The sequence below is a fragment of the Homo sapiens genome, chromosome 3 (assembly GCF_000001405.40).
Source record: "Homo sapiens chromosome 3, GRCh38.p14 Primary Assembly".
Lineage (NCBI taxonomy): Eukaryota > Metazoa > Chordata > Mammalia > Primates > Hominidae > Homo > Homo sapiens.
Genome location: NC_000003.12, coordinates 194172853 through 194195986, shown reverse-complemented (window position 1 = coordinate 194195986; position 23134 = coordinate 194172853). Strand labels below are relative to the sequence as shown.

General features: G+C 46.5%; 2 annotated features.

Moving 5' to 3' along the window:
* Positions 2173-2252: an enhancer, noted in NCBI's record as "active region_21017". NCBI's record gives its function as "activates an Ori minimal core promoter by ATAC-STARR-seq in GM12878 lymphoblastoid cells {active_cell/tissue: GM12878}" and the evidence as "EXISTENCE:reporter gene assay evidence [ECO:0000049][PMID:35858748]".
* Positions 19683-20596: an enhancer, noted in NCBI's record as "H3K4me1 hESC enhancer chr3:193893180-193894093 (GRCh37/hg19 assembly coordinates)". NCBI's record gives its function as "activates a minimal SCP1, AML or CMV promoter by ChIP-STARR-seq in naive H9 embryonic stem cells {active_cell/tissue: H9 hESC(naive)}" and the evidence as "EXISTENCE:reporter gene assay evidence [ECO:0000049][PMID:30033119]".

Below are 23134 nucleotides of genomic sequence, written 5' to 3'. Positions count from 1 at the left end.
AATTAATTTCATACATAGGATCATCCAAACAGGTAACATTGTTGAAGGATGCTACAGTTTTGGTAACAGGATAGCATCACATGCATCAGAGTCTGAAGGTCTCATCCTTCTTCGGCCCTGGAAAGTGTCCTAGGCAGCGCAGATGCCAAGGTCTGTTGGCTGCTGGAGTCCTAGCCAAGGAGGCTCAACTCCTGAACACATGCAGTGGGCAGAACGTACTCTGTAAACCCAAGTCAAGAGTCTGGAAAATGGCTGGACAAGTGCTATGCCTTGCTTGGCTGAGCAGATAGGATGAGGAGAAAAAATAAAGAGAAGATGAGGACTGAAGTCATTCAAAAAGTAAAATTCAGAGGTAGATAAATAGAAAGAGGGGAAATATTTGTATTGGTATGAAATTGAAGAAATATAGAACTGAGTATTTAGAGGCCTGTGCAAATGAGTCCAGTCCTTTTGTTAGGTAAATAGGGAAGCAGAGGCTGAGAGAAAGGCTGGGACTGCCCAAGGTCGTGGAGCTAGTTAGAGACACACCCGGAATTAGAACCCAGGCCTCCTGACTCCAGTGCTGCTGCTGCTGACAGGACACCATCAAGTCAGCCAAAACTTAATTCACTAAGATCATCTATGTTTAATAGAGCCAGGGGGTCAGAGAAGAAAAAACAGTTTAATTAGCTATGATCCACCAATTCCGCTGGCCCATTGGTTCCAGTGTTTATTAACGCTCGCCAGCTCAGCTGTCCTCCCAAGCTTCTCCTTGAAGCTTTTTGCGTCTTGTAAGAGGAAGAATTGGGAATCTCCACTTTGTGTCACAGAGGAACCTGTAAAGACCCCAGCTTGAGCACTCACCAGGGCAGCCCCTTGCAGAATAAGATATTATCCAAATGTGTTGTTTCTTTTGAAGGCCCTTTTTCAGTCTTTAACATATAACAATTCAAACATTTCTTTGGTAGCATAGGACTGGGTGGCAAGCAGACTTTTTGAAGAACTAACTGATACATTCTCATTCTCGCTTTCCTCCCACCTCTGTCCTGAACAGACACACATCCAGGATTTCCTTTTGTCTTAAGGCCCTTTCTCTCTAGTGTAAACATCTGGGGCCTAATCCCATCACAGGCTGCTTCCTGGAAGGGTGTGGCAGCTGGATGCTGAGAGCCAAGATCCCCTCAGTTTCTGCTGCAATGTCAGGGGGAGCAGCAATGGACAAAGCTGGAAGAGTGTCTGGTGTCAGCTTATGAAAGCTTTAAATGCCAACAAAAGAGGTTTTTCTTGGTGCTATAGACCATGAAACGGTCAGAAAAGTCTTTAAAGGGGGAAATAGCATGATGAGATTTTGTGTTTAGAAAAGATTGTGGTTGAACTATGGAGAATGGGGGGTAGCAGAGAGAGTTCAGCAGTAGGCAGACCAATTAGCGGGCTGTGGCACATGTTGGAGGCAGAGGTGCTGATGTCTTGACCTTGGGGGGTTCCAGAGAGGACTTAGAAAGGAGAAGGGTCTAGTAGAAAAAGAAAAAATACAAGGGAAACTCTAAGGGATCTGGCTGTGACGAGCGTGGAGAGATGAAGGAGACCATGAGGTTGCAAAGGAGGAAGTGGGTGAGGGGAAGTCCAAGAAGGTGAGCTGTCTGGGGGAGCACGGGGGCAGTGGAGGAGAGGGTTTGGAGAGTTTCATTTTGGGTGCATTGAGTTAAGGAGCTTGTGGGCCCCGCGAGTGGACACACCTTCCAGGGAGTTGGAGACACAGGTTTGGAGTCAGGGAGGGACTCCAAATGCACATGCGAACTTGCAGGCCAGACAGTGAGAGAAGCCAGCAGCAGGAGACTCCTCGTTCAGGCCTCAGTGAATGTCCCTCACTCTAACCATAGTCTCTGTGTCCTGTACACTGCATTCATCTTTCTAACATGCTGCTCAGACCTGAATACCCTGCCAGCAACCTTCAGTACTCAGCGTTCTGTGGCTTCTTTTTTTTTTTTTTTTTTGAGACGGAGTCTCGCTCTGTCACCCAGGCTGGAGTGCAGTGACACAATCTCGGCTCACTGCAACCTCTGCCTCCCGGGTTCAAACGATTCTCCTGCCTCAGCCTAAGTAGCTGAGACTACAGGCATGTGCCACCACTCCTGGAAAATTTTTTGTATTTTTAGTAGAGACAGGGTTTCACCACATTAGCCAGGATGGTCTCCATCTCCTGACCTCGTGATCCGCCCTCAACTGCCTGCCAAAGTGCTGAGATTACAGGCGTGAGCCATTGCACCCGGCCTCTGTGGCTTCTTAAATGCAAAAAGAAAGCTTTCCGTCTAGGTCCTTCATGACCTGACCTCTTCTAGAATTGTTTTCCCCTACATGCAAATACTCCTGTACAACTTACAAATGAAACTACATCTTTTCTTGATATGCTTTAATTTTCCTGTTCATGATCTTCTGTCTGTTCAGAATGCTTCTTTCATCTCTTTCTGTTGAAAGTCTATTGATTTTTCAAAGTATCAGATGAAATCTTTCTTGGACACTCCATAAGTGATCTTTTGTGTTCTTACACCTCTTTGTTTGAGTGGAGATAGACGATACTTTTCCTCTGGGACACCCCTCCACCCACTCCGCCACAAGCCTTGTGATCTTCTCCGACCCCCAAAACTGCTAGGGCCAAATTCCATACAATATACCCCGAGGAAGGCACACCTGTGCAGAATGCAGAGAATAAACACACCAGGCCTTGGCTTTTGAGTTGCAGAAATCAAGGATGTGGACTTACAAGAACCTGGACTTTTGAGTTTACATTTTATACAATAAATAATGGATTTGGAAGAATAGATTGAAAACTGGGCCTTCTTACCCCAGATGAGATAAGGATTAACCAGACTGGGGGAAAGGAGAGTTGGAGGGAATATGATGAGGGAGAGAAGCTTGTGGTGTTCAGGATGAGAGAACCAGGCCTGGAGGGACCACTCAGACAGTATGAGAGAACCAGGCCTGGAGGGACCACTCAGACAGAAGAATCAGCCTCCAGGGATCATGCAGGCTTTGCTCTGCTGGGCACTGGCTGGCACTGGCAGCCAGAGTGGTGCCCACAAGCCCCCCAGGATCCCTCCCAGCAAGTCTCCATCCCACTACCCCATCACTGGTGTCCAGGAGCCACAGCAACCACGCTTCCTGTTGGACCATCACCATCAGGAACAACTCCTATCAGTGCCCAAAGACTGAGTAGTCTCTGTCTATATTGCTCATGTGGACAACTTCCTTTCCAACAGCCAAGGACTCTACTGTGGAGTCTACTCTTAAGCCTCAAGATAAAGTGGGCTCCAGACATCCAGAAGACTACTGGTGATGTGAACTTCTCTCCCACATCATGTTTCTATTTCTGGGACTTTGCATGAAAATAGTTTAAAATCTCCCTCTTGTAGAAATACACTTTATAATCTATTGGCATTAGATTGTAGGTATTTCTTATGCTATGTGTCTCCTGTTTGCTTCTCTAGATGTCCTCTCTACTCTCCACTCTGCTCTCTTCCCCAGAGTCTTATCAGTGTGGGCTTTAGGCTTTGGGCCTCCTGTTAGGCTCAGTCAGTGAGAAGCCCTGGCAGGAGACTGGGGTGGGGGTGAGTTAAGGGCCTTTATTCCCTGGCTGCCTCCTTGCTGGATAGTCCCCTCTGACTGTTCCTCTCAAGCGAGCTGTCCCTGAACTCTTCTCTCCTTCAGAGTTCCTGTAACCTTGTCTTGTTCCTTCCAAATGGAGATGGTGACAATTTCTATGTTATCAGCAGCCTTGGGATACTGTGTCAGTCCATTCTTGCACTGCTATAAAGAACTACTTGAGATTGGGTAGTTTATAAAGAAAAGAAGTTTAGTCAACTCACAGTTCCACAGGCTGTACAGGAAGCATGGCTGGGAGGCCTCAGGAAACTTACAATCATGGCAGAAGGCCAAGGGGAAGCAGATACATCCTACATGGCTGGAGCAGGAGGAAAGTGGGGGGAGCTGCCACATACTTGCAAACAACCACATGTCATGAGAACTCACTCACTATCATGAGAACAGCAAGGGGGAAATCTACCCCCATGAGCCGAGCACCTCCCACCAGTCCCCACCTCCAACACGGGGGATTTCAATTTGACATGAGATTTGGGCAGAGACACAAATCCAAACCATATCAGAAACTGTATCTCTTGTTTCTCTCCACTCTGCTTATATCTTCATAACTAGTGCTTTCATTAACCTTTCCCTGAAATATCCTAATTCAAATGTGACTTCTGTTTTCTGCTGGAAACCTGTTGCAGACTATATTTACCAATGATGGTTACAATATCCCCCATCCTATAGCTCTGCTTACAGTGTGACTGGGACAATTCACCCTCAAGAGGAAGTGATGGCTGGGCGCGGTGGCTCATGCTTGCAATCCCAACACTTGGGGAGACTGAGGCCAGTGGATCACTTGTGCTCAAGAGTTTGAAATCAGCCATGGCCAACATGGTGAAACCCCGTCTCTACTAAAAATACAAAAATTAGCTGGGCGTGGTGGCATGCACCTGTAGTCCCAGCTACTCAGGAGAGTGAGGTGAGAGGATTGCTTGAACCCAGGGGGCAGAGGTTGCAGTGAGCCGAGATCATGCCACTGCACTCCAGCCTGGGTGACAGAGCGAGACTCTGTCTCAATTAAAAATAAATAAATAAATAAAATAAGAAAAGTTCAGACACTGTGACTTCTGAACTAGTCATAAACAATGAAGGGTGAACCGTCATGAAAACACTTGACTTGAGACCGCCATACTCTGAGGAAGCTCAAGTGAGCCCATGCGGAGAGACCACATGAAGAGAGGGATTCCTGGGAGGCTCAGGCTGCTTCAGCATCTCTATCTGACTGTGACTACAGGCGAGACCAGAGCCAGAATTACCCAGCTGAGCCTTTCTTAAAATCCTCTTCCACAGATACTATGAAAGATACTAACGCGATGGTTGGTATTTTAAGCTGCTGAAATTGGAGTGATTTGTTAGGGAGCAGTAGGTTACTAGGATAGACCCTGACTGATGCGTTACAAACATCTGGAGATGTGCAGCTAAAGACGCAAACAGAGGCCAGGAGCAGCGGCTCACGCTTGTAATCCCAGCACTTTGGGAGGCTGAGGCAGGCAGATTGCTTGAGCTCAGGAGTTTGAGACCAGCCTGGGCAACATGGCAAAACCCTGTCTCTACGAAAAATATAAAAATTAAGCAGGTGCGGTGGTGCATGCCTGTAATCACAGCTACTCAGGAGACTGAGGCAGGAGGATCGTTTGAGTCCAGGAGGCGGACGTTGCAGTGAGCCGAGATAGCGCTACTGTACTCCAACCTGGGCAACAGAATGAGACACTGTCTTAAAATAATAATAATAAGTCAAACAGAAGATGTCCCTTCTAGGCTGGGAGTTTCCTGAGTGAAGGAATCGTGCCTTCTCATATTCCTATAGTGGCTATCACACAACAGTCCATTCAGAAGGATTTGTAAACAGGTTCAACAGACGTGGCTAATTTGAGTTTTCATCCTCAAGGAAGATTTGGGTGTTCCGCTCACTTGAGAAGTGAGGCACAATAGCAAAGACTTGGAAGCAACCCAAATGTCCAACAATGATAGACTGGATTAAGAAAATGTACATATACACCATGGAATACTATGCAGCCATAAAAATGATGAGTTCATGTCCTTTGTAGGGACATGGATGAAACTGGAAATCATCATTCTCAGTAAACTATCGCAAGAACAAAAAACCAAACACCGCATATTCTCACTCATAGGTGGGAATTGAACAATGAGAACACATGGACACAGGAAGGGGAACATCACACTCTGGGGACTGTTGTGGGGTGGGGGGAGCAGGGAGGGATAGCTTTAGGAGATATACCTAATGCAAAATGACGAGTTAATGGGTGCAGCACACCAGCATGGCACATGTATACATATGTAACTAACCTGCACATTGTGCACATGTACCCTAAAACTTAAAGTATAATAATAATAAAATTAAAAAAAAAAAAGGGAGAAGTGAGGCAACAAAGAACATGGCATCAACAGCCGCAAGAAGGACAGACGGTGGTTTCTACTTCTCGCCCTCACAAGTGTACCTCTTTGAACCCCAGTGACCAAGAGCACACGTCCCTCAGGTTTAAGACATTCTTTTAAAATAACATTTGCCTTAAGAAGCCAAACACTAATAGTGCCAAAATGAGATTATGGACTTTCCCGGAGACTTATCTAAAGGCCCACACTAAATGTGGCCTCCCTGTTTTCCCTCATTTGTGTGTGTTTTGTCAGTTCAAGGCCAGAGAAAGAACTGTCCCAACTGGAAATAGAGTTAGATGTGGGGAAAGAGGCCACTGCTTGGATAACATTCCTGAGATGATGGGTTTGGAAACTGGGTGTGCCAAAAATTTCCTGGAAAGTTTATTTTTGCTGAGTTTTAAGCCTGACTTCAGACCATTAGAGCTCTTGGATAATGCCAGTTTGTTCAAACACGTAGAGAGCCAGCTGTCCCTGGAAATGAGGTTATCTCTTGCCAACTGAGAGTTCTCTGGTCTGGCTCGCCTATGTGCTTAAACACTTAACTTTTAAAGCAAATCGTAAGTAAAGGTCAGAGAGATTCCGCGTTGCCCAGATGCAGGGCTGATAGGAATTCGTCTAGACCGGTGCCTTTCCCGGGGGACCCTGTGAACATACAGATTCTGACTCAGGCTGCCTGGAAGAGGACTGAGATTCTGCAGTTCTCAACAACTCCAGGTGCAGCAAGGCTGGTGTGTTTTGAGGAGCACCCAGCTAGAGGGCCAGGTTTACTCATCCTGGGGAGGTCTCTGTCGAACCCACCTCCATTGGGCAGTCTTCCCGTTGGGTCCTAAAAGGTTTTTGTGGTTTCAAGAATCTTTGAGTAAAATGAAAACGCCCTTGGGCTGGGGCAGGGTGCACGAAGTGTCTCCATCTGAATTTTGGCAGCAAATATGTCATTACTATTGTTAAAGAAAGAAATTTATTCAAACACTTGTTCAAGATGCTAAGGTCAACTTTCTTCAAGGGGAGCCGTGGAGACAAGGGGTGCAGGGACTTCAGCAACGGGGTCTTGCAGCTGGGGAGAGAGGTGGGACTCAACTCCAGCTGCAACGAGGACAGGTGGAGACTTCTAACCAAGAAGCAGGGTGGGGGTCAATGGATGGGAAATTACTAAGAGGAAATATCACAGATAAGGGGTTTCTGGCTGACTTGACTTAACAGGAGTCTTGCTGAAGGCCGGCCAGGGTGATGAGATACCAAAAGTGGGAGACTTTTGCTAAACTGACTTGGCAGGATTCTTGCTCAGACTGGCTTCTATAAGGACAGGGAAGGAAGCCAAGGTAGGGCCTAGTCAAGCAGAGGACCCAGAGGAGCCCAGCTAAAGTTCTGGTCGAAGGAGACCCATCATCACTATTTAAAATACAAGTTAGACCGGGAGCGGTGCTCATGCCTGTAATCCCAGCACTTTGGGAGGCTGAGGCGGGTGGATCACCTGAGGTCAGGAGTTCAAGCCCAGCCTGGCACACATGGTGAAACCCCGTCTCTACTAAAAATACTAAAATTAGCAGGGTGTGGTGGCGCATGCCTGTAATCCCAGCTACTCAGGAAGTTGAGGCAGGAGAATCGCATGAACCCGGGAGGTGGAGGTTGCAGTGGGCCGAGATCGCGCCATTGCACTCCAGCCTGAGCAACAAGAGTGAAACTCTGTCTCAAAAAAAAAAAATAATAAATACATAAAAATAAAAAATAAAGTAAAAATTAACGATAATAACAACTAAACATTGAAATTCACGCCAAGCTGCATTCTAAGAGCTTGACATGTCGTATTGACTCATCCAGTCCTTACAGTACCCTGGTCCTGTTATGCCCTTCTTAGACATGAGGAAACTGAGGCACGAAAGGTTCAGCTTCAGGTCCAGGGTGATATAGCCAGCGTGGAACGGCACTGAAATTGGTGGTCAGACCTTGGAGCCACAAGTCCGTGGGAGGCCCCTGCACACAGGCGGAGGGTCAGATCCCAAGGGAGGCGGGGTGGCAGCATGGCAGGTCAACCCTTCAACCTCTTAGCATTCCCTGGGATGTCACGGCCTCAAGTTTGTCCTAAAGTGGTATTATTTTGTCCACAATAGGCCATTCATCCATGTCTTGATTGAGCACTTCCTGAATACAAAATGATGCCGCCCCAGACTCTGTGCTAGGTGCTAGGGCTGCACAGCTGGGTAAGCCACAGCCCTGCCTTCAGGGAGTTCAGAGTTCCTGGAAGAGGTTGGACTGGATCAGTGCCAGAATGACAGAAACGAAAAAACTGTAAGCACAGGCTGCTAATATCATTGCCATCTTCATGACCCCAGAACAGACCCTTTTCAAATGCTGAAGTTGCAAAGCCTCTGCCCCTATGCACTTAACCCTCTCAGTTGGCACCTTGCTGGCATCTTGGTTGACATCCCTGCGTATTCCTGTCTCTCTGTCTTTGCTTATTTGGTGTCCTCCTCCTAAAGTGCCTTCAGCCCTTTCCCTCCTGTCCTATCCCACCCTCTAGCTGCCTCCCATGACACACAGGGGTCACATGGTCTGTGCTCATCTGGGGTGACCAACTGTTCCAGTCTGCCCGGGGCTGAAGGGTTTCCTAGTATATTACATTTCTATTGCTGCATAACAAACTTGACAGCTTAGATCAACACCCATATTAGCTCACAGTTCTATATGTCAGTCAGAAGTCCAAGCGAGGCGTGGTTGGGCTTTTTGCTCAGGGTCTAAAAAGAGCCGAAATTCAGGTGTCTGCCAGGCTGAGTAAATCCGTTTTCAGGCTCACACAGGCGGTGGGCAGGATGCAGTTTCTTGCACTATATGGCTGAGGCCCCCATCTCCTTACCAGCTGTCAGCTGGAGGTCACTCCCAGCTCCGCCTGTGTGCAGGGGCCTCCCACGGACTTGTGGCTCCAAGGTCTGACCACCAATCTCAGTGCTGTTCCGCGCTGGCTATATGACCTTGGACCTGAAGCTGAACCTTCCGTGCCTCAGTTTCCTCATGTCTAAGAAGGGCATAATAGGACCAGGGTACTGTAAGCACTGGATGAGGTCAACCACATTCCGTGCTGTGTGACCCCCTCCATTTTCAAAGCCGTGTGGAATCAGACTTCAAATCTCTCTGCCTTATGTCTCTGACCTCTAGACCCAGGTTTAAAAGACTCATCTGATAAAGTCAGGCCCACCTGGCTAATCCCCCTATCTTAAAGTCAACTTAGTTACATCTGTAAACTCCCTTCATAATAACACCTAGATTTAAGGTTTGATTCAATAACTGGAGAAGGTGTATGTGCAGTAGGGAATTTGGAGAGTCATCCTAGAATTCCGCCTCCCATACCTGGCATACGGGACTCTGGATGCTAAAGCTGGGACGGTCTGAGGCACACACTGGGGCAATGGGTCACCTTGTTAGTAAGCTCTGTAAGGGTAGGATTGGTTATTCTTGGTTATTCTTGGTTATTCTCTTACCCACTTTTTTTTTTTTTTGAGATGGAGTTTTGCTATTGTTGCCCAGGCTAGAGTGCAGTGGCGCGATCTTGGCTCGCTGCATCCTCCTCCTCCTGGGCTCAAGTGATTCTCCCACCTCAGCCTCCTGAGTAGCTGGGATTACAGGTGCCCACTGTCACGCCCAGCTAATTTTTGTATTTTTAATAGAGATGGGGTTTCACCATGTTGGCCAGGCTGGTCTTGAACTCCTGACCTCGTGATCCGCCCTCCTCGGCCTCTCAAAGTCCTGGGATCACAGGCGTGAGCCACCACACCCAGCCTCCTCTCCACTTCTGATCATAACCCACAACTCTGCACACACCGGGTTCTTGGTAAGATGCACTATTTGTCGGAGGACATACCTCAGCACCTTGTAGCATCAGGACAAGTGGGACATGGTGACAAATAGCATGGATGCAAGGCAGACAAAACGGGATTTAAATTCTAACTTCCTGGCTTTGTGATCTTTGACTCAACAACTGAACTAACTCTCTGAGCCTTGTAAGTTTTTTTCTTCTATAAAATCAGGACAGTAACAATACTCACCCAATAAAGTTGCTATTTTATTAGAATTAAATGAAACCATATACATTAAGCATTGGATTCAAGGTCTGGTAGACTGTAAGCACTCAGTGAAGCCAGCTGTAATATTATTACTATTGTTATTATTATTTTTTAATCTGGAGATGGAGTTTTGCTATTGTCACCAGGCTGGAGTGCAATGGCACGATCTCGGCTCACTGCAACCTCCGCCTCCCAGGTTCAGGAGATTCTCCTGCCTCAGCCTCCCAAATAGCTGGGATTACACGCATGCACCACCAGGCCCAGCTAATTTTTGTATTATTAATAGAGACTGGGTTTCCCCATGTTAGCCAGGCTGGTCTTGAACTCCTAACCTCAGATGATCCACCCGCTCCAGCCTCCCAAAGTGCTGGGATTACAGCATGAGCCACGGCGCCTGGCCAATACTATTATTATTAACCACACCAGAGCCAGTTGAGTGCTGGAAACCGGTACCGCCTGCAGTGCCATCTCTGGGGCAAGAGGCAGGGAAAGGGCTGGTTGCTCATTCATCGCGCCTCAGCGCTTTGAGAAAAAGAAGGGTTTTCCTGCAGTGACGTCCTGACCAACCTAGGTAACTGAGCTCTACTTTGAAAATTCCTCTGGTAATTTAGTGCAAGAAACACATCTTCCTTCAATTTAAAACTTTTGGGTGGTATAGCAGTACAGATGTTAAATATTTTCTGTGTATGACTCCAGAGGGTAGGGGATGGGTCGCTAATTCTGAATCCTTTGAACATCTTAGGGTCTCTCTGGATGAAAGGTGCATGTTGAATGTGGCATTTTATGAAATTAAAAGAAAATAATTTTTTACTAAAACAGCTGTGGGATCTCTGCAGACCAGAGGGATGTCTCGAAGCAGTCTGTGTACCTCAGAGCACAGGGCCTTTTGGAAAACATCTGGAAACTGCACATCCAACTTCATACACAGCAAATCAAGTATGAAGTTGTTTATTGAGGAATTCCTCAATTTCAGGGCATTTCATTGCAAAAAAAAAAAAGAAGGCCTTCTTCTAGTGCAAACTTGTGCCATCAAAAGTGTACTAGCAGGGTTTTATTGTTTCAATTAAAATAATTTCAACTTGAAATGATTCTTTACAAAACAAGGCACAGACACAAACAAAAGACCTCCAAACTTCCCCTTCTCCTCTTCCTCCTCCTAAAGTACACAGCTTTAGCCTTAAAGCAGGATTTACTGCCTTTGTCCGGAATCCAGCCAACCAGGTGGTCACACAATCAGCAAACCAATAACAATTACAGACATTACAATTTTCTACTTGGCTGCCATAAACAAACACTGAGCAATGGGGCAGAGAACGCCTGGAACATCAGCAACTTGAATAGAAAAGGAAGACAAACAGAACCGTGTCCCAGGATTGAGACCAGGCCTCAGGCAGCTCTAGAGCTAAAAACAAAGCAGTGGCGGCTTCTTCCTCTCCTCCTCCTCCTCCCTTCAACACAAGTGTTCCAATGAAGGATCTCCTACTACCTAAGCTTAGTGGAGCTTAGCAAACTGTAACAGGTCCAAACAGGGACTATTGTGACCTCCACAATAAATCACTTTAGGGAATTGTCAGGGAGATAGACTTCCCTCACTCTCTGCCCCTGTTACCCTTCCTGTAGAAATTTAAGGAGTTAAAGTTGAGGGGAAATTAAAGGGAAAAAAAAGGCCTTTTTCATTTCATTTATTTATGTAGATAGTATTTCCTATCAGGAGTGTTACTTTTTGAAATATTTCTGAAATCTCTGAGCCGCGCTGCCCTCCTTTTACACGTCATTTCAAAGAAAGCTCTATCCCCAAATGACTTTGATGTAATTTATAGTTATATCTTTTTTTAGTGATTGTCCCCGGCTTTCCTGGGCCAGAAAGGGCTGCAGAGGTCATTTAAGTCCAGGGATTACTTAATGGCTGGTTATCAGCAGCAGCCTGGAGGTTCCTGGACCTATGGAATCAGAATCAGGAGGTTGACCCAGAAAATGTACTTAACTGTCCCCACCTCCTTCTCCTGCTTGGTGAATCTCTTATAGCACATTGATGCGTCTATATCTGGGAACCAAAGGGGGTCTACATTATATTATCTATATCATCCCTAATTTATAGATATGAAAACTGAGCTCCAGAAAGAGGATGTCATCTGCCCAAGGTCACCCAATAAATTAGTGGAAGGGGCCTCCTGACTCCCAGTTCAAGACTAGTCAGTGCAAACTTGTGCCATCAAAACTATACCAGTGGGGTTTTATTGTTTTAATTAAAAATAATTTCAACTTGAAACGATTCTTTACAAAACAAGGCATAGACACAAATGCACGGGCTTTCCCCTGAAAAGGTCTCCTCTTTGGCCCACTGAGGGACTGGGACAATTCCTAGCCACGGGGTGAAAGCAGTTCCACCTCACGGGCTGCTGATCATGGTGATTCTGACTCCAGGGCCCAGGAGTGGTCCCTAGTGATGGGAATGCCAGCACACTTTGAATTTACAGGGAAGTTGCCTCTTCTAGTGACCACATTCACAGTTCAGTGGCCTCACTTGGAAGAAACTCTGTTCCTTGCCCAACTTGCTCCATCTGGCTCAGTCCTCCAGGCCATGTCTTTTGTCTAAGACCCATTGTTATACCTAAATTTGAGATTCAAGGTAGCAATGATATCATTACTGGTGGGCTTTTTCTTCTTTCTTTTAAAGAAAAGATAGCAGTTATTTCCTTTAGCCACTAACCTTTATAATATTTTTATTCCCTGGAACTTAATGAGCATCTATAGAGCCAAGCTGTGGAGTTGTGAGGCTCGATGCAAACACCACCTCTGCACAGGAAACACCTCCTGTTCCTCTAGCTAGGGCACCTGTTGGGAGCATCAGCTGAGGGCAGGTATATCTCTTAGACTTATGCCTCTTTCCTCACTAAAAAAGAAAGAAAACAGGCCAGGCACTGTGGCTCACGCCTGTAATCTCAGCACTTTGGGAGGCCAAGGCGGGAGGATCACTTGAGGTCAGGAGTTTGAGACCAGCCTGACCAACACGGTAAAACATCATCTCTACGAAAAGCATAAAAATTTGCCCAGTGTGGTGGTGGGTGCCTGTAATCCCAGCTACTCGGGAGGCTGAGGCAGGACAATTGCTTGAACCCGGGAGGTGGAGGTTGCAGTGAGCTGAGATCGTGCCACCGCACTTCAGCCTGGGTGACAGAGCAAGACTGTCTCAAACAAACAAACAAACAAACAAAAAAGAAAGAAAACAGTTGTTGCTCAATCTGTGATCATTCTCTAGGTTTGTCGCTGTAGTCTGCAGTGGGGGAGGAGAACAGTTTTCGACTCTAAAATTCACATAGAATAGTTTGTTCATAATTTAAAAAAACAATGACTCTACTTAGTACTGTTTCCTGTTTCTTCTCTTCTTCCCTTCTCTTTTTTCTCTTCTTTTTTTCCTTTTCTTTCCTTTCTCCTTCTCAGCTTTTTTGTTTTTTCTCATCCTGCATGTTGTTGTTCTCCCCCTTCTTCTCACCAATATCATCATCATCATTTCCTAACTCCGCATCCTGACGCATGCGAGGAGGACGAGGAAGAGAAGGGGGGAGCAGGAGGAAGAAGAAGAGCAGGGGGAGGAGGAGGAAGGAAGAGCAGAAGGAGGAGGGAGAGGAGGAGGAAGAAGAAGAGCAGAAGTAGGAGGGGAAGTTGGTGAATTAATGAATACAAGAGTGTAATTATATGACTGTCACAGCTCAGGTTAGGCCCCTGGCTGGAGATCTGGGATGGTGTAATCCACGACTTACATTGCTTATGCAGTGGGCTCTTTCCCGGAATTCCCTCCTGCCACATTCCATTTGATGTGGGGAAGCTAAGTGAATATTACAGCGCATTTTGAGAAGACAGTGAATTAGGTGGTCTCAGTGTTGAGCGAAAATTCTCTTTTCCCTCTCTGATCACACAATCTCAGGAACTGTTTTTTATTCCTACACTAAATGGATCTCAGCTGCAGTTTAAGAGGCCTGAACATACCTGTAGCAGCTAAAAGAAAGCCCACCAACTTCTACCTCAAACCAATTCTTTATCCCAGTAACTTTTTTTAAGCACCACAATTTTGTAACCTGTTGGTCATCCTCCAGTGAGTGCCGTGCCGAGCCACTTTAGAGACTGAGGCCAAAAAGGAAAATGCCCAGTCACAGTTTCTGTCTTTATGTGAATTTTTAGTATTTCATACATCATAAATGTTTGGATTCCTTTTTATTTTAAAAAATATTGCATTGAAATATTATGTATCTTGATTACTGAGTTTTTCGACATCCCCTTAAATTTTGCACCCTGGTCTTGGCTTTGTTGAAACCCCTCTCAATACTCCCAATGCAGTTTAGGTGGTGACCAAGCCCTAAGCCCTGCCGATCGCACCCTGTGACTCTCTGCCCGTCTCCCTTTCTGGTCAGCACCATAGCAACCGCCTCCTAACTTGTCTTCCTGCTTCCATCCACTCTTATTCCCCATACATCCTTTTCCCCCAGTGAGTTAAGGGTGGCTTTCTAGAACATGGTCACCATACTGGCCAGCCAAACTGGGTGGCTCCCCCATCCCCGACCCATACCCATCCACTCTGCCCCTTCCGCCTTGGGGAGCAGCCTTGGAATCTGGGTGGGATTGACCTCATCAGCAGCTCTAGGGGAGGGCCCTGGGAGGTGTAAACCTCAGCAATGAGCTCAGGAGGGCTCCAATCCCACTGCGGCCCAGGATGTCTCTGAATAGCTGTAGGAGAGAAGATCTCTCCCGCTCACTCTGAGCTGGGCTGTGTGTGGATGACAGGCCTGGAACCACCATAGATGAGAGAGGTCAACAAAGGATGCAGGTGGCACACAGAGGAGAGGAGAGCTAAGAGAATAACCAACACAGCAGAGGACTGATGGAACGGAACCCGAAACCCCCTCTCTTCTGGACTTCTCCATTCACTAAGCCAGTGAATTGCTGGGTCACTGAAGGCTGTTGGTGCAGTCTTCCGTGGATAGACTATTATTTAACCAGCCTTCATTTTTGGGCTGTAAGCTTATTTCTGTTGTTGCTTCCTTATTTGTTATTAAACTGCTGCAATAAAAATTGTTGTACAGCTTTTGCATATGTAAATATTCGTAGAAAAACTGATGGGAAGTGGAATTCCTGGGCTGAAGGGTGTGCATAGTTTGAAAATTCATAGAAACTGCCAAATTATACTCTCAAAGGACAAACCACCACTAAGAGAGTTTGAGGGTGCTCAGCGGTGAGATAATACACATATCGGGCAATGTCTGCAGATCAGTGCAGAAGTTAGCCGTCAGCCTGAGGTGCTGAAGTAGGGTCCAAGGAGGTCCTGCTGGGCCATGTGTTAATTTTTTTTTTTTTTTTTGAGACGGAGTCTCGCTCTGTCACCCAGGCTGCAGTGCAGTGGCTAGATCTCGGCTCACTGCAAGCTCCGCCTCCCGGGTTCACGCCATTCTCCTGCCTCAGCCTCCTGAGTAGCTGGGACTACAGGCGCCTGCCACCACGCCTGGCTAATTTTTTGTATTTTTAGTAGAGACGGGGTTTCACCATGTTGGCCAGGATGGTCTCAATCTCCTGACCTTGTGATCCGCCTGCCTTGGCCTCCCAAAGTGCTGGGATTACAGGCGTGAGCCACCGCGTCCCGCCCCCAGGTGTTAGTCTTTAATAGCTGGTGGGTGAGGAGTCAGGGGTCCCAAGGGAGAGACCAAGGTGGCCAGGTCAGCAGGACGCACTGTGAGAGTTCAGGGCAGTAGCTGTTTACCAGCTGTCATGGAAGCACTTCAGTGCATTGATCTATTTTCTTCTTCCCACACCAGCAGAGGAATATGGTTCAAAATGATATGCAGCTTCCTATAGCTGTCTAGTAAGCTGTAAGTAAGTAAACAAGATTCCCTTTATTGTTCTTTTCCAAAATTCTCTTGGTTGTATTTTTAAATTTTCTCTCTCAGATAAAGTGTGTGCAAAGGCTTAGCTCTGGTTTCTAGATGGCTGGTCTCACTTTCTGCTGGAGAAGGAATATATCATTTCTTCCCGAGACAGCTCTTTGACCAGGTCTGCCAGCCATTCTTTAGGTTGTTTTTTTTCTCTTCTTCTTTTTTTTTTTTGGGGGGGGTGGGGGGGCTCTTGCTCTGTCACCCAGACTGGTATGCAGTGGCACGATCATAGCTCACTGCCTCGAACTCCTGGGGTCTATCAACCCTCTCTTTGGGACATTTTTCTAAATTAACTACTTAAACCCAAAATAAAGTGACTATGTGGAATAAAAGTCTGAGAGAATATGGCGCTAGGAGAAAATGATGGCTGGAAAGAGGAAACTCTCAACCTGCTGTATATTCCATTTTACAGAGGATCCAGCGATGTGAAGGGATGTGGGGAAGGGCATACTGAGCCTGGGTGGCAGATCGGGTGAAGGGATGTGGGGAAGGGCATACTGAGCCTGGGTGGCAGATCGGGTGAAGGGATATGGGGAAGGGCATACTGAGCCTGGGTGGCAGATCGGGAAACAAAGGTCAGGGCTGCCAACTACCCACCCAGAGCTGCTTCCCCCATGCTCGCCTGCTCCAGGCCAGGCAACCTCAGTGTTGCAGTTGCTTTTGTGGATGGATCCAGCCTTTGACATCTTTCAGGGCACACTTATGCCAACGATTTCCTATTTCCTGCCTGCTCGCAAAACTACTAAAGGGAGATGAAGTGGCGTTAGAAATGTGCGTGAATTTTTGCAGCCAGCGTCCTAAGCACTCCTGGAGGGGCTGTTCTTCTGAAGAGCATCCCCCTTCCCCTGCTGTATTTTCTTCATACCACATATCATCATCTGAAATATTATTTATTCATACCACATACCATCATCTGAAATATTATTTATTATGGTTATTTAATGTGCACCCCCTCCCCTGAGGAGTTCCGTTAGGGCAGGGACTTGGTTTTGTTTGTGACTGTATCCCTCCATGCCTGGAACAATGCCTGGCACACAGTAGCTTCTCCATGAATGTTTGCTGAGTGACTGGATGCATTGGATCCTCTCGTGGGTTTGTAGCCTGTTTCTCCAGGGAGATGAGGAAGTTGGCGCCACTGAATGCCAAAGCCTTTTTTGTAGGTGCCAATCAGGACAGAAATCAGGCGGGGGACAAATAGAGACCGAGAGTCTCAGAAGTCTTGGCACCAGGGCACAAGGACCTCAACCAAATTGCCTTCGAGAATGTAAACAATTCTTTTTATCATTCACTGGGTTTTTTGCCAAAACTTTCAAATGCTGAGGAGGCATGAAAAGTAGCAAGATTGTTTATGATCTTTGGTCTTTTTTTTTTTGCTTGTTTTTTTTAACCTTGAAGCTGAGTGAACAAAAACAACGAGGATCCACCTAGAAGGATGTTGAAAGTTGTATCTGGTAGCTTCAGCTAAGTTCATCAGGCCGTTTAGCAGTGAAAGAGAAAAGATATCATGGAGTGGGATCAAGTGTGGATTTACTGAGGGTTGACCAAGTTCAGGGGGTATCTGAAACACAGGGCTTGCCATCCTCTTCTCAGGACCAGGAAAAAGTCACTACAAATACCTCATCACTTCATGAATCCTTGGTCTCCTCATCTGTAAAATGGGGTGACAAAGACCTACTTTGCAGTGTTTGAGGATGAAAGGAGCTGGTGAGTTGAACGAATGTGCTCTGTAGATGGTCAGACGTGCAAATGCATTATTGTTTTCATTGTAAAAGGATTTGAATTTGAATTCTGCGTGGTCAAGGTGGCATATCTAAGTGGCAGAGTAATTGATTGAGATATTAATTTAGAATTCTATTGTTAGGTATTTGGGTTTCCTTGTCTCAGGATTCCTTGATAGGACGGAAAGCAGGAGTTCCTCAAAACCCTTCTCTCTTACATTCTGGCCTTGCTTTAGAGAAGATTATGCTAACCAGGAAAGGAGGCAGTGAGAGAGGCTGGGACACAGAAGGAGATTTGGGTGCAGGGAGGGAAAAGTGGGCTGGAGACGTCCTTCCAGACTTCAGAGAGGAACAGTGCGGGGATCCCAGGCCTTACTCTCTTCCCTCCCAGGGTTGCAGGGGTGGACGCAGAATCTGGGGAGGGAGAGGCTGCTGACCCTATCCTTGCAGAGGCCACAGCCCAGGAGCAGAGGAGCTGCTGGCCGGCAGAGGCCCTGGGGTATGGTGAGGAGGTCATTGTGCTGGTGGGGACTGAAAACCAGAGCCTCTCTTAAGGCTGCTCCACTTCCACACCTTGGTCCCTTCCACCGCACAATGTAGGTGATGCTGCTTCCAGGATGGGCCCTAGTCACTAATGACCGAATTAGTCAATTTCTTCACCCACCCAGTGAACTGGAGACTCCTCAGCAGAATTAATTTTTTTAAAGAAAAATCATGTGGCATTTCTTTCATGCCAAGTTTGTGAAATAAAGCCCATACCTGCTCCACACAGAACACACTATTTAATAAACGCCCTTGGGCAAAAGTGTCAGTAGCAATTCCTGGAAGAGACATGTCCTGAAAGAACTAGTAGAAACCAGGAAATCGCTGTCCTATTTTTGTCTCTGACACTAACAAGCTCTCTGTGACCTTAAGTAAGTCCCTTCCTCCATCTGTGCCTTCCATTTATTTATTGGTCGTATGAAGATATACTGGACTAAATTCCTGGTTCATGTTACTACACATTTAGAATGGATTTGGGAAACAGGAAATAGTTATGAAACCATATTCTCAACCAAGGATATGGTTTTAGACGCCGTTCCAGTCATGTTAATTTCCACCTCAAAAACAATGGATTTTTGATAAAGCAGAGTTTCTGCAACTGCAGAAGACAACTCGAATAAATGTGACACTATGATTGTCACCTGCTGAAGCAACACTTGTTCATGCACTCGTGGTCTCTGTTGGGATTTTGGTCTTGGTGGCAATACATACTTCTTGGGATTTTTATTTTAAAAAGAAAAGCGCCTTTGGAAAAAAAAAATCCTTCCATAAGGAGCTCATCTTTCACCAGGGCTGGAAGAGTGTAAACAGGACTGCGTGAGGTTCCGTGTTTATGTTTTCTCAATGACTTCCAGATCAAATTTGCTGTGTTTACAAGTTGGAGACACTTTTTCTAACTGCCGGCATTGCAACTCAAACGGGGGTCCGGCCGCCCAGCTGGGCTGGCTCTGCTTCGAGTTATCCCGCACCTCTGACAACAGCTCCACGGTGCCCCAGCAGGAAAAGCGCTTAGCTCAGCAGCCGCCTGCAGACACCGGCTTTTCATACTTAAATCAAAACAAGATGCCAGGTTATTATTATTATTATTTTAAACTTTAAGCCTTAGGTCCAGAGGTAGAACGTGGACTGCAGAGGTGATCTTTTCTTCCCCTTCATGCTTGACAATTGCTTTAATTTTTCCCTATGCTTCCAAGAGTTCTTACCTCATCCAGACCCCGTGAATCTCACTTTGAAGTTTCTCTTAATTCCTTTCAATCATGAGCCCTGTGAACCGCATGCCCAGAAGCCTCTGCCTGCCATGGATTTTGCAGGTCACCTGTTGAGGTACCCATTGGTGCTCCACAAAACTTGAAATACAAAGCTCTTGACTCTTTTCCCCCTTTTAAAACACATATCCCTTTATAAAACAGCCGTTTTACTTAAATCCCTTTGTGCTAGATGTTTTATGCGTCTAAGAGATGGTACTTTGACCATGAAGCTGTCATCCCAACCAGCTGTCAGCAATATCTTTTCTTTTCTTTTCTTTTCTTTTTTTTTTTTTTTGACACGGAGTCTTGCTCTGTCGCCCAGGCTGGAGTGCAGTGGCGCGATCTCGTCTCACTGCAAGCTCTGCCTCCCGGGTTCACGCCATTCTCCTGCCTCAGCCTCCCGAGTAGCTGGGACTACAGGCGCCCACCACCATGTCCGGCTAATTTTTGGTATTTTTAGTAGAGACGGGGTTTCATCGTGTTAGCCAGGATGGTCTCGATCTTCCGACCTCGTGACCCGCCTGCCTCGGCCTCCCAAAGTGCTGGGATTACAGGCGTGAGCCCCCGCGCCCGGCCCGTCAGCAATATCCTTGCAGCGTTTTCTGCGGTGGACGACGGAGTGCACGGGCTCGTTGCTCACTGTCTGCCGTGCTCCCAGGGAGCCCCCAGCATGGAGAGGAAGGAGTGTCCTTGGCTGCAGCAGCCTGAGTTCCCACCACCAGCGCTGACTGGCCCTGTGACCTTGGCTGAGTCTCCGGTTCTCTGAGGCCCAATTTTCTTCTCTGCCTTCTTGCCTCACAGGGATAAGTCGCGGTCCCATGCGACACAGCAGGGGTGAAAAGACTTTGTACCTGGTAAGGCCCCGTGGGAGGAAAAAGTTCCAAGATCATCAGGCTCAAGGTTCTTGAGAATGGGACCAATGGGGATCAGGGATGCCGTCTGCGGCTATGAAATCCCTGAAACGCGGGCATGAAGTGTTCGGTGTCTCTACAGCACCCCCTTTTTGTGGACTGTTATGACTGTGGCATGCTACTTTCCTCTCTGGGGCTCCAGGTGTCCCTCCGTCAACTGGGAGGGCTGCACTTGGCGGTGTTTAAGGAGCCTTCCAGCTCCAATGTGCTGTGATTCTGCTCCATGCTTCTCAGGCTGGGACATAGGGCAATGCGATGGGATCGGAGGGGAGAAAAAACGAATATTTAGAAACCTCAATTGAAGGGTTTTTTGGGGGGGGAAATAAACAAGCAAATGAAAACTTTATTACCAGGAAACTCAGATCTTAATCAATTTCAGGCTGGGTACGGTGACTCACACCTATAATCCCAGCACTTTGGGACGCCATGGTGGGTGGATCACTTGAGCTCAAGAGTTTGAGAACAGCCTGGGCAATATGGTGAAACTCCATCTCTTAAAAAAAAAATTAGCTGGGCATGATGGCATTCACCTGTAGTCCCTGCTACTTGGGAGGCTGAGGCAGGAGTGTTGCATTAGGCCGGGAGGTTGAGGCTGCAGTGAGCCAAAATGGCACCACTGCACTCCAGCCTGGATGGCAGAGTGAGTCCCTGCCCTGTCTCGAAAAAAAAAAAAAAATTAAAAAATTAATTTCAGTGACCGTTCTTATTAGAGGTTTAAATTTTACCCAAATTATGTATTCTTTGGCCACCCCCTCACAGACAGATCACACACATACACATGTGCATGCATCATATGTACATTCTTATTTCCCCTAGCTTTCTTTCTTCATCTCTTCTGTTTTGGTTACAAGTGTCTTTTTACTTTGCTCTTTTTTTTAGAGACAGGGTCTCTCTCTGCTGTGCAGGCTGAAGTGCAGTGATGTGGTCACGGCTCACTGCAGCATCAACCTCTTGGACTCAAGCGATCCTCTCGTGTTGGCTGCCTGAGTAACTAGGACTACAGGTACGTATCATCATGCCCAGCTCATTCTTAAAAATTTTTTGTAGAGATAGGGTCTTGCTATGTTGCCCAGGTTTGTCTTGAAGTCCTGCCCTCAAGCCATCCTCCCTCCTTGGCCTCCCAAAACACTGGGATGTACTGTGGCTGTACACATTGTCTTAGTATAAGCTATTTAAAAATTTTTTGAAATTGGGTAAGTGAAAATATTTTATTTTTATAAGAAAAAAAGATTCATAAAGAAAGTGGACTGTGTTCCTTTGTATTTTCAATACTGTGGTCTTGTTCCTATAACTTACAGCACAGGGAGCTCTATTGGCTGTTAATCAAACAAAGCCTTGACCTAGTCTGGAGAAGTTGTCATAGTCCTGGCTCTGATGTTGCTTGCTGTGTGACCTTGGAATTGTCACTTTCCCTCTCTGAATCACAGCCACCTCATTTGGAAAATAAAGAGGTTGGACCAGATGATCTCTGAGGTGTCTTTCAAGCTTTTTTTTTTTTTTTTGAGACAGAGTCTCGCTGTCTCCCAGGCTGGAGTGCAGTGGTGTGATCTCAGCTCACTGCAAGCTCTGCCTCCTGGGTTCATGCCATTCTCCTGCCTTAGCCTCCCGAGTAGCTGGGACTACAGGCGCCCGCCACCACGCCTGGCTAATTTTTTGTATTTTTAGTAGAGACAGGGTTTCACCATGTTGGCCAGGCTGGTCTCGAACTCCTGACCTCAAGTGATCTGCCCGCCTCGGCCTCCCAAAGTGCTGGGATTACAGGCATGAGCCACCATCCCTGGCATCTTTCAAACTTAAAGATCTCCATATAGGTGACTCACCTTAATAAAACCCAACATGTGAAATGATTAATAAATAAAATCTACCTTCCCCAAACACCTTTTTACTGATAAAGCAGGCTAATAAAGGTAAAACAGCTTGCAATGTAAAAAATAATTTTAAAAGTAGCTGCTTCGTTTTAGAAATGAATTGATTTATATGTAGCGTGACAAATTCTCTCATACCTCTAACTGAAAAAAGTTTGTCTAGTCGGACATTTCAGTGACGGTTCTTTATCCTTAGCAGCTGATCCTGCCACATCCATCAGATAAATTCCCAAGAAATATCCTCATAATGTTCAGCTGAAATCTCTAATGGGTACGATCAAATCAGGCTTAATGTTAGCTCTGGTGAGCAGTCACGTTGAAAGTATGTGTTGCTTTCTCATTATCATTTTATTTCTACCATTAGCCACATTCAAAAATATAAATCACTCCTAATATCTTTCAGAATGAAGGTTAACTATGTCACCTCAGAGCTGACCCTCATCACAAGTGACAATGTGAGGCATTATGGGAGGAATAGGAAACACGGTGCCAAAGGGTCATGTGTGGTGTGACCTTGGGTAAGTCACTTCCCCTCTCATGGCCTCAGTGTCCTTATATGTAATTGTGGGGTTGTTAGAGTAGGTAGTTAGGCAGACATGAGCAGGGCAGGACAGGCCCCCCCTCCACCCCCAGGAATGTCAGGTGACTATCAGGTGACGATGAGGTGGTTCTTAAACTCTCAAAAATAATAATTGTCCACAGCCAGCACCAGGGAAAGGCAGTCTCCCAATAGATAGAAAATACCTGAGGCTGATGAACAGCAGCTTCCGGATAAGATCTCCGGAGTTGTGTGAGTGGGCCCTAGCTTGCGCACTAAGAGGCACAATGGCGGAGTTTAACTGGTATATGACCTTCC